Here is a 16445-nt window from a genome sequence, read left to right on the forward strand (position 1 = left end):
AAAGTTGTCTGAATAAAATGCATATGATTAAACCCTCTGAATGTAGTTATCTCAATAATAATCTCCATATAATCCTTTGTGTTCTTAGAACAGCTAATTCTGGAGAAAATAAAAAACATTACCCATTTTCTTCTCTCTTTTTAAACTGTGAGTGCAGCCGAACTTCAAGCACCTACAAAATCACATAAAAAGTTTCCTTAGAATTTTCCAGCAAAAGTGGCTCTTAAAGGATACTAAAAAAAATTAGTCTCAATTCCTTGTTTTGGAGATGAGGACTTTAACACCCACATAACTACGTGACTTACTGAAGGTATCAAAATCCATTGGTAGCTCAAGATGAGAATCCAGAAAACCCAACTCTGATCTGGTGTTCTTTCCACCACACCATGACCTCTTTTATATGGAAGAGAGCAGTGAGTGTGAAAAATACACATTTGTGGATCTTGGGTCTTGAAAATTTATGTTTCCCATAGTTAATATGTTTTTAGCCCAAAATTTTTTAAAACTTTGATTTTAAATTTACTATTAGCTGGTCCCAGTATATTGCACTTTCTTCCCAAAGGACTGATGTCATCAAAAAATCTTTAATACTGGTTTGCAAACTCTAATCTTTAGGGAAGACTTTGGGACAGGAAGAAAACAACACTGAAGAACGAGTAATAGAAATCAATGGGAAAATATTCCTCAGAAAAAGCCATTCCATTTTATATATTTATAACTTTAAAGCCCATTATGGATTCTTGATAAAAGATTAAGTCAGGAAACTATTGAAAATTATTAAAAACTCAGGTAGCACAAGTACTTTTTAAATTTTTCTTAAATCCAACTCCCAAAGTAATGTCTTTTAAAAAGATTCAAGTAGATTATGCTTTAGAGTATTAGCCAAATAATAGGCCAAATTCTAATGACATAGTGAAGTAAAAACACGACTTCAAAGAAAATTTAGTTCACATAAAATATTTACTCTAAAGTCAAAACTGTATTAAAGAAAACTAATGAAAATATTCTATTCTCAAAAAAAAAAAAAAAAAAACCAAGGAAATTAACTTTCTTTTTAGTTCCAGTTCCCTGAAAATCCCAAAAGGAAACATTTAATTTTCTAGGACATCCTGAAAGACACAGGTAAAAACGAAACACAGTTAGAGCTGAATTAATCAAGCAAACATCATTGACAATCAACAGAACTTTCCTGGTGATTAAACACAATTTGAGACAGCTGGAGGTGGACCCAATCTAGTAGTAAATTCCAAGGAAACAGAATCTTATGAGTGCAAAATGGTGTTAGACAAACAGAATTTGTAAACAGATGTAAACCTCTCAGAAGTTTCAAGACCACGGGGACAAAATCAGAGTGAAAACCAAAAGGATAAACCTTGCATTTTCAAGTTCAGAGATATATTATTAACTTGTAGCTTCTTGCCTGGTCTTGTTCTTACATTTCAAGTTGCATTAATGCTTACATGAAGTACTCATCTTCACCAATTTTGTAAATATTCCAAGGGTCACATTACTATTAGTTTTCAGGAAGGCAGAAGATTAAATACCATATGATATGGTTGGGCTCTGTGTCCCCACACAAATCTCATCTCAAACTGTAATCCCCATAATGCCCATGTGTCGAGGCAGAGACCAGGTGGGAGGTGATTGGATCATGGGGGCGGTTCCCCCAAGCTGTTTTCATGATAGTGAGTGAATTCTCATGAGATCTGATGGTTTTATAAGTGTTTGACAGTTCCTTCTTCACACACTCTCTCTTGCCTGCCACCGTGTAAGATGTATCTGCTTCCCCTTCCGCCATAATTGCAAGTTTCCTGAGGCCTCCCCAGCCATCTGGAACTGTGAGTCAATTAAACCTCTTTTCTTTATAAATTACCCAGTCTCAAGTGTGTCTTTATAGCAGTGCAGAAACAGACTAATACACCATAGTATCCCCAGGCTAGGGTTGCTTTAGTTGTTAATTCTAAATTGTTAAATCTAAATATATCTGGACACTTGCTCAATCTATTTAACACTGCATTGGGACAATTTTAAGATTGATTACACCCTGCTTAGAGTGACCACACATTCCAGCATGAGGTAACACTAAGTTTATGCCCGGGTCCTGGCTTAATCATTAATAACTCTTAAAAGTGTCTAATTTCAATGACAAATCATATTACCACCACCTGTGAAGAAATTTAAGTTACCTCTTCTCTCATTCTTCTGGTCTTCAAGAAGACATTCTTCCATGTTATATAATTCTAGAAAAGGAGTTAAATGTTGACCTCACCATAATAGGAACATTTCAATATATACCTTGACTTCTTACGTTCTATCTCCTGTCCCCGTTTCTTCATTACTTTCTATTAGCAGTATAAACTTTAGTTCTTCCTATGGAAATTGTGCACTACTCCTTTCTGCAAGATTCTTCCTCCATCCTTAGCTAGCTTGGAAGTCTATGCCTAATTTAAAATAGTAAATGTATGAGAAAATGCTTCAAAGCCACTAATTAACTTCCAAATCAATTATTGCAATAAAGTCCATTTGTAAATTATGTACTACTTCTATACTGATAAATAATTTAGTACAAAATTTAAGCTCAATAAATGATATTGAATGATCATGTGAATGAATGAACAATTCAGAAACAAATATATGTACATGCAGCTTAGTGTGAAGTAATAGAAAAATTATTATGATACAAAGGGAAATAGAATGGTAACAAGATAGAGGAGAAGCAGCCTAAAATCAAAAGTATAATTAAATTTGAAAGAGTCCTTGCCACACACTGATTGTCCACAATGACCAGCATATTCTAAAGCAACAAAAGTTATAAACTCAGTTTACTGGGACCTTTTTCCACCTTTTTACCAAACACCATCAAAATATAACTCAGACTTTATCATAAAAGTCACATGTTAACATAGATTAAGGCTTTGAAAATACACATTTACCTGACCAAAATGCAACTATTTCTTCAAGCAAAATATGTATACATTTGGTTTCAACCTGTATGTTCAGATTTGGCTAGTACTGTTCCCACTTTGTAAAAAGAGGTAGCCAAGAATTCAAACTTAGAAAGGTGTACCTCTGCTTTTACTTTTTCCCACAATTACCACGTTTCTAAGCATTGTGCTATATTCTGTGGCATATGTAACTTCATTTGATCATCATACCTACTGGATGAGGTACATTTCATAAATGAGAAAACTGAGTTTAGGGAGGTAAGAGAACTTTCCCACACAGATAGCAAGAGTCAGGGTCAGTGTTCGAACCTGTGGCTGCCTGATACCAAGTCACAAAATCTTTGCCATGTGTACTTTCTTAATTCACTCGTAACTGTTTCTTCACAATCAATTCATTTGTGGTGCTTCTTTCAAAAACTCTCCAGCACCTGCACTGCAGAGCGCAAATCAACCCCTTTAACCGGTGATTCTCAAAGGTAACTTTAGAACAAACTGAGGAGCTCTTAATAACACCCATGCCAGCAATTCTGATTTAATTGATCAGGGTGGAGTGTGGGCATGGTATCACTTAAAAATCTCCTGCCAGAAGTGGTGCCTCATGCCTGTATTCCCAGCTACTCAGGAGGTTGGAGTGAGAGGATCATTTGAGCCCAGGAGTTCAAGGAAGCAGTGAGCTGTGATTGTGCCATGGCACTCCCACGTGGGCATCATAGCAAGACCCTGTTTCTAAAATAAACAAACAAACAATAAAAGTTTCCCAGCTGATTCTAACATGTTGCCAGAGCTGGGAAGACTACCGGAAATGTGCACACCAGGCCCTCTGCAACCAGCTTGCCTGCTTTGCCAACTCTTATTTCTTGACAGTCCCACAAAGCCACCACACCCTCTAGGCATGACACGAACAGACCACCATTTGGCACTAATCTGTATGTAAAGAAAGAATGCCTAGCAAAGGAAAGAAACTTTTTTGGATTAAGATCGCTCTCTTTTTTGCACAAATGCTCAGCCTTTATAGTTTGAGGTTATAGTCTCTGAACCTATTAAAACTGTCTCACAGCAGGAGTTTAATGAAGTATCTTTTCCTGCTCTGTTTTTGCTGTCATTTTTCATGAGGCAAAGAAAGATGGAAATTCACAGAATTTTAGAATTAGGTCAACTGATTGTGTCCCATTGGCTCAGCCAATTTAGAGCATGGCACTGAGACTAATATCATGGCTTTTCTGTTGTCCAGTTGGCTCTTTATAGATTCACAAACACTAACTTTACCCTTAATCCTGTGTAGGAAATACATAAATGCCAGCAATTATGCAGCTGATCATAATAGGAAAAGGGTATGTATGACTTGGTGAAAATCCAATAGCATCATCTTGAAATGCAAAGAAGAACATATTTCAAAGAGCAGCAGTCCAGCCAATTTGGACCAATTAGAAGACAGAAGGAAAATAGCTAGATAATCAATAGTCAGCTGATCATAATATTAATCAAACCTTTCATGCTTCAGTTCTGCAAGCTGATGTTGAATATAAGATAAAATCACTCCCATTTGGGCTCAGCTGGGATTTTGAGCTTATTAAACAAAAAGAATGAGTTAAATTAACATTCTAACTCAGCATTAAACTCCTAGAAGCAAGAGAATTCATCATAAAATGTCCATCATCTCATCATGATTCTGTATTACAACCCCAAAGGTAAGATCACCCAGTGTTATGCGTTTCTCCAACAGAGAACTAAATGTATGAGATTAAAAAACAACACGGTGAGCTCAGTGCAGCATTGAATACTGTCACATTTGCAGATTTAAGGTATGCTTTATTATTATTTTAATGTGGTTTTGGTCATTCTTCCTTTATTTTTTAATATGGTGGTGTGACTTGCATTGAGCTACCTTGAAAATTTTCATTTCCAACACAAAGCTGAAATTCCCCAAGACCCTTAATGTTTTACATAGACACTCAAAAGTAAGAAAAGTAGAAGTTTTAAAGGAGGGACATTCAGATGACTATGTACAATCATGAATTCTTGCAGAGTTATTTCCAGCAAGTATGGAAGGTAAACATGCATTATCAGTTAGGCTAAACCTAGATACCAGAAATGATCATAGAGGGTCAGCGCAACTCCTGCTCAGGACTTGACCAAACACCAGCTTTCTGTCTTGACCTTCTAGGCAACATACACTTAGGAGGACAAGGGCAACAGGCTGGATCATCATCCAGTTACCTGGTGGGATGACTTCTCCTCTATATCTTTTCCCATCCATTAACTGTGACTAGAAACCACAAAGTCATCATCTAGCAACTCTACAAGCTTTTTCTGTGATAACTTTTGATCACATCACATTCCTTCCATTTCCCCTCCACTTCTTTCATCTGTTACCTTCTTTTTAATGTGAATATATTTGTTATTCTCAAAGTGAGCCATGTGTATGTTAAAAAGTTTAAAAGTACAAGAGTTGGTGGCTCACACCTGTAATCCCAGCACTTTGGGAGGCCGAGGCGGGCGGATCACGAGGTCAGGAGATTGAGACTATCCTGGCTAACAGGGTGAAACCCCGTCTCTACTAAAAATACAAAACAATTAGCCGGGCGCGGTGGCGGGTGCCTGTAGTCCCAGCTACTCCGGAGGCGGAGGCCGGAGAATGGCATGAACCCGGGAGGCGGAGCTTGCAGTAAGCCGAGGTTGTGCCACTGCCCTCCAGCCTGAGTGACAGAGCGAGACTCCGTCTCAAAAAAAAAAAAAAAAAAAAGTACAAGAGTATAATAGTTAAATATAAGTCTACTTCAAACAGCACAAAGAGCATACAGTTTAAAGTAATTCTACCTTGAACCCATTCCCCAGTCTCCCATGAAATAAATTCATTCTTTTCTTCTTTTTCCTGATCCCCTCCTCCTTCCCCCATATGTATGTATATATGTACATACACACATACAAACATACACACCTTTTACACAAACAATATATACTTTGTTCTGCATATTGCAAATTTTTCTTATATTTTGCACATTATTCCATATCAGTTCTTACAGACATATCTTATTATTTTAAATTACTGCATAATATCACATGGCATGGATGAACCATAATTATTATCATCTATTGCTGAGTATTTTTTCCTGTATTTTTCTACTACAAATAACATTGCAATAAAATCTTTATGTATATGTATATACACACATGCAAGGAAATTTATTATTTTATGTGTCTTTGTATACATATGCAAGTATATCTGTTAACTAAATCTGGTAGTGAAATTGCTGGGTCAAAAGAGATACACCTTTTAAGTTTTAATAGTTATTACCACATTGCCCTGCAAATATTAAATGAATCAATTCATACTCCACATAACAATGTATGAGAGTGCCCCATGCCCACATACTAGGTAGCTCATTGTGCTACCATACGGTTTGATCTTATCCATCTGACAGGTAAGTAAAATAGCATGTTTTAATTGAAGAATGAATCTTTTTATGAACAGCAATATCAAATAAAGTATTGAGTTCTGCACAAGTATTCACAGATTCTATATTCAAGTGTTCTGTCCTTTAGTCAACATTTTAAGTCTATGACTTATTATCATATGCCAGGTATTATATTGAGAGTCACATATTTAAAGACTCAAGACATAGACCCTATCCTCAAAGTACTCATATACTAACAGGTGAGAAAGATATTGTAAAATAAATAATACACAGTATAAGTACAATAATAGAATATGTATACTGCCTGAGTGTAAAAGTGGCTATGGACTAAAAAAGCCTGTTCCTTAGCCATATGTAGAAAGCTGAAACTGGATCCCTTCCTTACACCTTATAGAAAAATCAATTCAAGATGGATTAAAGACTTAAACGTCAGACCTAAAACCATAAAAACCCTAGAAGAAAACCTAGGCATTACCATTCAGGACATAGGCATGGGCAAGGACTTCATGTCTAAAACACCAAAAGCAATGGCAACAAAAGCCAAAATTGACAAATGGGATCTAATTAAACTAAAGAGCTTCTGCACAGCAAAAGAAACTACCATCAGAGTGAACAGGCAACCTACAGAATGGGAGAAAATTTTCGCAACCCACTCATCTGACAAAGGGCTAATATCCAGGATCTACAATGAACTCAAACAAATTTACAAGAAAAAAACAAACAACCCCATCAAAAAGTGGGCAAAGGACATGAACAGACACTTCTCAAAAGAAGACATTTATGCAGCCAAAAAACACATGAAAAATTGCTCATCATCACTGGCCATCAGAGAAATGCAAATCAAAACCACTATGAGATACCATCTCACACCAGTTAGAATGGCAATCATTAAAAAGTCAGGAAACAACAGGTGCTGGAGAGGATGTGGAGAAATAGGAACACTTTTACACTGTTGGTGGGACTGTAAACTAGTTCAACCATTGTGGAAGTCAGTGTGGCGATTCCTCAGGGATCTAGAACTAGAAATACCATTTGACCCAGCCATCCCATTACTGGGTATATACCCAAAGGACTATAAATCATGCTGCTATAAAGACACATGCACACGTATGTTTATTGCAGCATTATTCACAATAGCAAAGACTTGGAACCAGCCCAAATGTCCAACAATGATAGACTGGATTAAGAAAATGTGGCACATATACACAATGGAATACTATGCAGCCATAAAAAATGATGAGTTCATGTCCTTTGTAGGGACATGGATGAAATTGGAAATCATCATTCTCAGTAAACTATCTCAAGAACTAAAAACCAAACACCGCATATTCTCACTCATAGGTGGGAATTGAACAATGAGATCACATGGACACAGGAATGGGAACATCACACTCTGGGGACTGTTGTGGGGTGGGGGGAGGGGGGAGGGATAGCATTGGGAGATATACCTAATGCTAGATGACGAGTTAGTGGGTGCAGTGCACCAGCATGGCACATGTACACGTATGTAACCTGCACAATGTGCACATGTACCCTAAAACTTAAAGTATAATAATAAAAAAAAGCCTGTTCCTTAAATATACCTTATTTTATTATTTTTATGTAAATATATTTAAATGTGAAAAAGAAAAATAAATACCTTGGCCAGCAAGAACCATGACTGTGACAATTACAGCTAATAATTATAGGTTCTGATTAGGTGAAGGACTATTTTTACTTACTACTCATCTATATTTATTAAAATAAGAGTAGGCAGAATAATTTATAAAACTCTCCATCTTACTTGATACTTGCTTTGGGAGCTTACAACTTTGTCTAAAAAATAAATAATGGGACTTTTTTTTCTCTATCAATTTTGCAGATTTTTTTTTAGCTCTTATTTTGCTTGACAAATCAAAGCACAAACTTTAGTCCCTGTTGTTGGTCCTCCCTCAACTCATTGGACCATTAAGCTTTTACTATATGGTGATTCTTATTAACTATTGGATTTGCTATGTCATGCTAAAGAAGTTTGCCGTTTAGCATGAGGTGTGTCAAGGACAGTTAATCGTATTACACAGAAAGCCCTTTCAGTAGTCAGATATGATAAAATGTGATAATAACGTTAACATCATTGACTGGTAAAGCTACTTCTTGAGCTTTTAATCATCATTCCAGACTTCTTTAAATGCTGTCTTCCAATCAATAGAAACACTTTAAAACTTTATACCAGGGCCAGGCGTGTAGGCTCACGTCTGTAATCCTAGCACTTTGGAAGGCCCAGGTGGGTGGATTGCCTGAGCTCAGGAGTTCGAGACCAGCCTGGGCAACATGGTGAAACCCCATCTCTACTAAAATACAAAAAATTAGCCAGGCATGGTGGTGAGCACCTGTAGTCCCAGCTACTCAGGAGGCTGAGGCAGGAGAATCACTTGAACTCGAGAGGCGGAACTTGGAGTGAGCAGAGATCATGCCACTGCACTCCAGCCTGGCGACAGAGCGAGGCTCCGTCTCCAAACAAAACAAAACAAAACTTTATACTGGAGTAAATGCAACTCACTAATGCTGTTCTCTTTTCACGTCTTGCCTTCATTTCCAAACCTCATCACATTGTTTATTTATAGTCTTTACTGTTAAGTTGTCATTCAAATGCAAACATTCAAGCTGGGTTGCACATGGAACTGGGCAGAATTTGGTGTGACATATGAAAGCTGTTGAGTGGCGGTGTGGGGCTTGAGAGGTCTAGGTTTAACTTCCAGTTATCCTGTCTTCAGCGAGTCACTTACCTTTTTGATGATGCTTATTTATTATCAAGTATAACGAGAAAATGTTACTTTTCTCTACTTCTCAGGGTTATAGTAAGGATCAAATGAAATAATAGTTGGAAATGGGTAAAGAGTTAAAAGCAATAAAGTTCCTCAATTCCCTTTCAGAAACTCCCTTTTTTTTTCCTGCCCAGGCCCATTCTTTATGTGGCCCCCACCTACTCAAAACCTCACATGTTGTGCCATCTAACTTGTGTCTCCTGTAATCCGGCTCCATATCGCCCATCAATATCTACCTGTTTTAGGTTTTAACTTTCAGACCCTAACTTTTATTAAGACATCTATGATTGAAAAAAGAATCTAAAAATAACAACAGCTGAATTTATTGAGTACTTTACCACATGCCAAATCATAAATTCAATTGCAACCCCACAGCTTTTACTAGGATAATTTCTGATTACATCATATTCCCCGCATGTTCTCTCCACTTGCTATGCAAAAACCTTTATATATATTATTCTCACTTAATCTTTGCAACAAATAAAATTGAGTCTATTATTATTCTTGTTTTACAGATAAGGAAACCGAGACTTGGAAAGTGAAGTAATTTGTCCATGATCACACAGCTAAATTGTGGTGGAGCTGCGCTTTGAATGCCTCAGAAACTGTTCCATAACTCCACTACTCCACTGCTTCTCCTGAATGCAGAACTAATGTAATGAACAAATGGTCACTCATGCATTACCTTTGAAATTTAACATGCTCATATAATCATAGAGTCTGAAGTTAGAAGATCATCTACTTTAATGATCTATCCAACCCTTAAACCTCCTTTATCATATGCCTAAGTCACAATCTGCCTTTTGCTTCAGTAACACCCATGAGGTATCTGTACCATGTCCAAAGAAAAAAGGAACGCCTTCATCTTCAGACTGCTCTATTGGGAAGTTCTTTATATCAAGCAAAAATCTTTCTTCTTGAAAACTCTGTCTACTGACATTAATTTTACCCAAGAGCTTTATTGAAAAAATATAATTCGAATGTTACATAAAATAAGTCCCCTGATAATCTCTTCCCCTTGATAAGGTACTCAGTGCACCTTGACCAGGCTGGTCACCTTCAAATGAAAACACCTAAGGCCCTCCTCTGCATTTCACCCAAACTCCAGGCACGCTCCTGCCCAGCTGAGCAAAGAGCAGGACTCCAACCTTCATTGTTATAGATACTCTATTTCTACAATTCCCATCTAAGAGACCACTAAGATTGTGTGAAACAATCATATCACGCTTTTGACTCATATGATGAGTTTACATTTTATCAATATTCCTACATCGTTTTTCACTACTTCCTCCACTTACTGTTAGTTGAAACTGATCATGTTGGAGTTGGGCCACTTTTCTAGAATAGTGGTTTTAACTGAGGCTGCACATTAGAATCACGTTGGGAGCTTTAAAAATACTGATTCCTAGATAGCAGCTGCAGAAATTCTAATTTATTTAGTGTGGGAGGTGGCTCAGGATTTACATCAATTGTGTCTTCCTATATATGTATTATCCCAGTTTGATAACATCTACAGATTTAATGGCTAAGTCATCAATGTTCTCACCAAGTCATTGCAGAGTCCTGGAGCCTTCCCTTAAGTTAATATTGGCCAGGTAGATTTTAGGTATAGATATTCAACCAGTTACAAATCCACGAAATTACACTGTCATTCAGTCCAGAGTTTTCTACTTTGTTCACAAAATAATATCAACAAAGACTTTGTTAAATATCTCACAGAGAACTAGTCTAGGGCACTGGTTAAAAGCATGGATTCCACCACCACTGCAAATTCAAATCTCAGCTGAGCTAGCTAGATTACTTTGGGAAGGTACCTTAATCTCTCTGTACTTCAGTTTCCCTAATGCTTACCTATAGGATTGTTGTAAAGATTAAATGAGTTTATACATATAAAACGTCTTGCATATGGTTAGCTTGAAAGTCAACTATCATTCCTGTTATTATTAAGTCTCATTATACACCATTTATTGCATCCACTCCATTTTAAAAGGACAATGATAATATTTGCTGCTGGAGAGCTGATCTGATGCGGTATATAGGCTGAGTGGTGAGAGATGATGAGGTACCTCGGGGTTTATCGATTATAGAACAGGCTCCTCTAGAGGGATATAAAGCACTGCCAAGTCTTTTGAGTCTTAAGCTGTTGCTTGTAGTACTCTGGTGAATAGTTTTGTTGGTTGAACTATTTGGGTTTAGAACTAAGCATAGTGGGGTATCTAATCCCAGTTTGAGTCTTAGCTATCGTGTTTTCAGGGTGTTAAAGTCACTTTTGTAGTTTATTTTTACTTCAGTTGAAGCTTTTTACAGCTTAGACGGAGTTTAGCTTTACTGTAGGTTTACCTTAAACACGCTTTTCACCAGATTTTATTAGTTTGGGTTAATCGTATGATCATGGTGGCTGGCACAAAATTTACCAACCCTGGAGTATTAGTATAGCTTAATCAAACTTTTGGTTATTGCTGGTTAAATCAGTTGTAGCTGAAGCAAGTGATAAGCATCAGAGATCATTTCCAAGCCATACCCATTTTCTCCTTACCCCCATTAAAGCATGATTCAGAGCCCATTACAGGATTTCTAACTACTGCAAGAGTGGTATTCATTGCTTACCTTACTAAATCACACAAAAGTAGCTACGTACTTAAATTACACAAAATCCAAAAGCTCCTAGATTAAGAGTTAACTAATTTATTATAACTATACTATTACCCATTGTGCAATAATAAAAAATACAGAAAGTATGGAAAAATGACAGAAAAAGAAGCCCTTACAGATTCATTTCTGAATCTGCTTACTCCTGGATATTTTGAAATTTCTTCAAAATGTAGCCTGCCCTCTCCCAGCACCCAAGAATCCTGAGTAAAGAAATTCCCCTTTAACTTGCTGGAAGGAAGGGAGAGTTCTAGATGTAAAGTCATTTCTTCCATTGTCTGCTTAAAAACCACCACTAATGGAAAATGAATCAGAGAAACAGAAAACTGGCAGTACTATAGATCTCCAAGTGAAATTCACACATCAAATTTGAAATGTGAGCAAAAAGATGATTTGCTAAATGTCCCAGTGGCATTTCAGAGTCCCTGGAAGAAGTCAGGGACAGAGGGCTCCTCATCTCTGACAGTCTAGGTGTTCCCTGGGGGAGGCATCTTTTTGTCATTCAATTGCCATTTGCCAAGAAAAGATAGCTATTGACCAGCATCACCTTTTAAGAAATTAAAAGAAATAGAATTCTTCAAATTAGGAACTTTAACTTACCTTTCAGCACCTTTTCCAAAAATTTGAGGACAAACGTTGTTGGAAGATCTTTAGGGATTGAAATTTAGATTATGGATTCACATTGGTATTTTGCGATAACAAACACGTCACACAACCAAATAGGACTGAAGTAAGTAGGAGGACATTGATGCCAACATGGGGACGGGAGTAGACTATTTAAGGTAAAAAGGGATCAGAATCTTTTCCTAAAGAGCATAGTTTAAATACAAGAAAAGGCCACCAACATCAGTTTAAACTAGTAGAAGAAGTAACGCATAACACAATAACGTTTATGACTAGTCAAAAGTGGGAAACAGATTGATGAGTGGAGGCAAAAAATATCTTGAGAGATTTAAAATGATCAGATTGAAATAAGGGTATAGTGTTAACAGACAAGAAAAAAAGGGAAGAAAACAGGAATTTGTCCACTAGGGCAATAGACACTGAAAAATGAACTAGATTATTTGGTGGGAGTAACATTTAATTCAAAGAAGATATGGTTTTGTAAGAAGTACTTTCTTGGGATGGTAGACTTAATCCATTTCCAAAACTTGGGTTAATGGCACTCACATTCAACTGATCAATTCAGGCTCAAAACAGGTTCCTGGTTTGAATGTTGCATAACTGACAGAGAACTGAGGTGGCATTTTAGACTGGAAACAGAAAGGTTAGGTTTAAGAAATTACTCCAAATATGTTGTCCATATTATTTGTTAATCAACTGCAGGTTCTCCTAACACCACATTCTGTTATAGTACATGTGGTTCACTTCTGTGATTTTTTTTCTCATTTTGAGAATCAAATTATACACTGATGTCTAGTTTTGACTGTTAAGGATATTAACAAAAAGGAGGAGGGGAATATTAGTAAGTGAGAAAAGAGAAGAAAGGTAATACAGAAGCTGAGTGGGCAAAGGGGATTTTGCAATATGGCCTGAAGTGACATGAACACTCTCAGCAAAGGACCCTTTATTCCACAGGGAGGTTGCCCAATATCTAAGAGTAACATTCAGATCCAGGATAGAACATTCTGTTCTGTTCCAGTGTGGTTAAAATTGGGATAGCTTGGGTGTGGGAATGGAGTTTTGGTAAACAGCTGAGCATGTGCACAATTAATATTATATTAATATGTTATAAAGTTGTTAAAAGAATTCAATAAAAATCTACCTATAAATATTTTGACATCATATGAGGCACACAGTAGGTATATAATAAATATTGTATCTATTCTATTTTATTCAGCTATGGTAAATGGAATAATTAAAGGATTCCAAAGATTTTCTTCTAGGTCAAGTTTGCAAGTTACTCTGCCTCTCGGAGAAATCTAGTGGGTGGCAGTCAGAACTAAGTCCTAAAATCAAAAGGGTAACAAATATTTAAATAAAGGCCAGATGAACGGGTAGGGGAGAAGGCATTGAAAGAGGCACCTGACATTACGCATCTTAACTACAACAAAACAAAATGAATTAATAAGTATCTCAAACCTGCTAAAGAAGGAAAATCCCGAAAATATTCTAGTTGACAAGGGATGACAATTAGAAATTAATTGTATAATACTCATTAATTATTCAAAATGTTACTGATACTTATTTAATGTGCTGCCTTTATTATACTAGTAATTATAGAAGGCTTTCATTTATTATTTGTAATTTAGATTCCATCAGTCCTTTATTTCTTGACACCATTTTAAGTTTCTCAGATAGTAACTTTCTTTCCCTAGGAGTTTTCAGGCATAAACCCTAACAGTTAAAACTGATCACTTTTACAGGAATGTGCAGCCTCCATTTTGGCACTGGTAAAACCAATTTTCTAGGCCATTACTGGAGACTCACTTTTTTATTTAGAAAGTAGGTAGAGTTTCCAGATGCAATACAAGACACTTAGTCCAAGTTGAATTTCAGCTAAACAACTAACAATTTTCAATATTAAGTATGTCCCAAATATTGCATTGGATATATACTAAAATATTATTTATTGTTTTAGCTAAAATTCAAATTTAACTCAGAGTTCGATATTTTTATATACTAAATCTGGAAACCCTAAAACTTGAAGTTCCTAGTTCATTAATAGGAAGTAGGAAAAAAAGTAAGTGAAAAGACTGAAAGTAAATAAAGCTTTAAGGTAAGAAGCAACTTTCTCACTAAAGTATACTCATCTTAGCAACATACCTCAAAAGAAAGTACAAACTCTATAAATTGCCCAAATTATTGTTGGATTTATACAATCAGGAAAGCCAAATTTGGATAGTACTTTCATTTTGCAATCATGTTTCTCAACTAAAACAGGTTTGTATCTGCTATTTTTTGTAACTAGTCATTTTTAAGAACTGCTGAAGAATAATTCAAGATGCTATACCTTAATACAAAAGTGAAAAGATGCAGGCAAATCACTGAGATTTATATCCTCATGATTTCATAAATCCTACTACTTCTGAAGGAGAAATTGCTACTAAGACTTCAGGCAGATATGCCAAATTAATCCCTTCTTTCTTCTGAGTGAATGTCCTATGTTCTATGTAATACGACAAATGTCACTATTCTAAGAGAATTCTAACATTCTAAAACTTTTTTAAAAAGATTTTCATTTATTAAACATGTTATATCATCAGGAATTTCAAAGAGAAAATGTCAATGCCCTCTAAGTTTCTAATTCTCAACCCACAAATTCAATTTGTTTCATGGGCTTTGGGGAATTAATAAATATGAGATATTTATTTGTAAGTCAAAATCTAAAACTGAGTCCCCCTGACAATCTGATGATGATTTGTGACATAACATTCCCAAAAGAAGAAAAAAAAGTTTCACATTTTGCTTCATCTAAAAACACAAAATTGTTTTCTAATTATAATGGCACATATTACACTCTGTATTTCAATAATATTTTATCTTGACTCTTTACATGTGTAATCACTTAACCCAGGCAAAGATCTAATAATTAACAAGAAAAAAATCATGAAATTCAGGATTTATGAAGTGTTTTCAGTTCCCTTGTCAAGACCACATGAGGGAAAAAGTATAATAGCAACATCCAAATATGTACTCTATTCCACCTGCATATCCATTACCACAATGCAAAGAATCAGCACAAAAATAAATACTCCACTAAATGTCCTGGTAATTTTGATCACCTCTATTTCAAAATGCATTATTCAACCAGGGTTATCTTCTGATAGAAAGAGAAGGTTAAGGAAAGCATTCTTAGCACATTGACAAATGCATTTCATTTTTATTATGTGGAAACAAACAAAAACTGTATTTAATATTAATATCATTTTAGCATTTGAGAGCTTTTGCTTTTCTAAATGAGATGATTGCATGAAAGAAGGCATTTTTTGGGTCAAATTTCCAATGTATCTACAGGTTGTTTTAATTTCATTATTTAACTCGCCGTACTCATAGCACATACACGTACAACTAAGTACAAATCGCTTATATCAAATATAAGATGTATTAAAGCCTTTCCCTCTCTCCAACAGTGCTCTAGGATGCATTACCAGGCAAGCAGATAAGTGTAATGATGAATTGCATAATATGGCCAACATTAATAGAGTGGTTTTCTACAAATGTATTGCAAAAAATAAATACTTCACATTTCAGAACATAACTATTTGGATGTCACATGTTAGCAAAGGACAAAGTGGCAGATATTAGCAACTTTAAATCTGTAGGTCCTGGATTAAACAATATAAAGGAACTTGAGAGAAATGACAATGCATCTAGAGCACAGATGAGGTTGAAGGTAAGAGTCTATTCTTGAGGGTCTAATTAGGTTCTTCCCATCTCTCCATTTTTTTTTTTTTTTAAATCATAGAGACGCCTTAGCAGAAGCTATCGGCTTTGACAGTACACCGAAATCCTGGCAGTGAACCATAAATTGACCATTACCATAAAAAGAGCTGCTAAACGAGAAACCATGTGCTCAGTATAAAACTAATTTCATGCTTTCAAAAGCACACAGTGGCTTCTAGCAAGATAGTGGCCCTGGGACTTGCCGAGACAGATTGGTGAACACAAATGGTTTGCTCCTGATGCGT

General features: G+C 36.0%; 1 protein-coding gene across 15 annotated transcripts in view; it reads right to left on the reverse strand.

Moving 5' to 3' along the window:
• Positions 1-16445, reverse strand: part of ZNF385B (zinc finger protein 385B) — a 419631-nt gene that overhangs the window by 286133 nt on the left and 117053 nt on the right. The gene's annotated exons all lie outside the window — the stretch shown is intronic.

The sequence above is a fragment of the Homo sapiens genome, chromosome 2 (assembly GCF_000001405.40).
Source record: "Homo sapiens chromosome 2, GRCh38.p14 Primary Assembly".
NCBI classification, from domain to species: domain Eukaryota; kingdom Metazoa; phylum Chordata; class Mammalia; order Primates; family Hominidae; genus Homo; species Homo sapiens.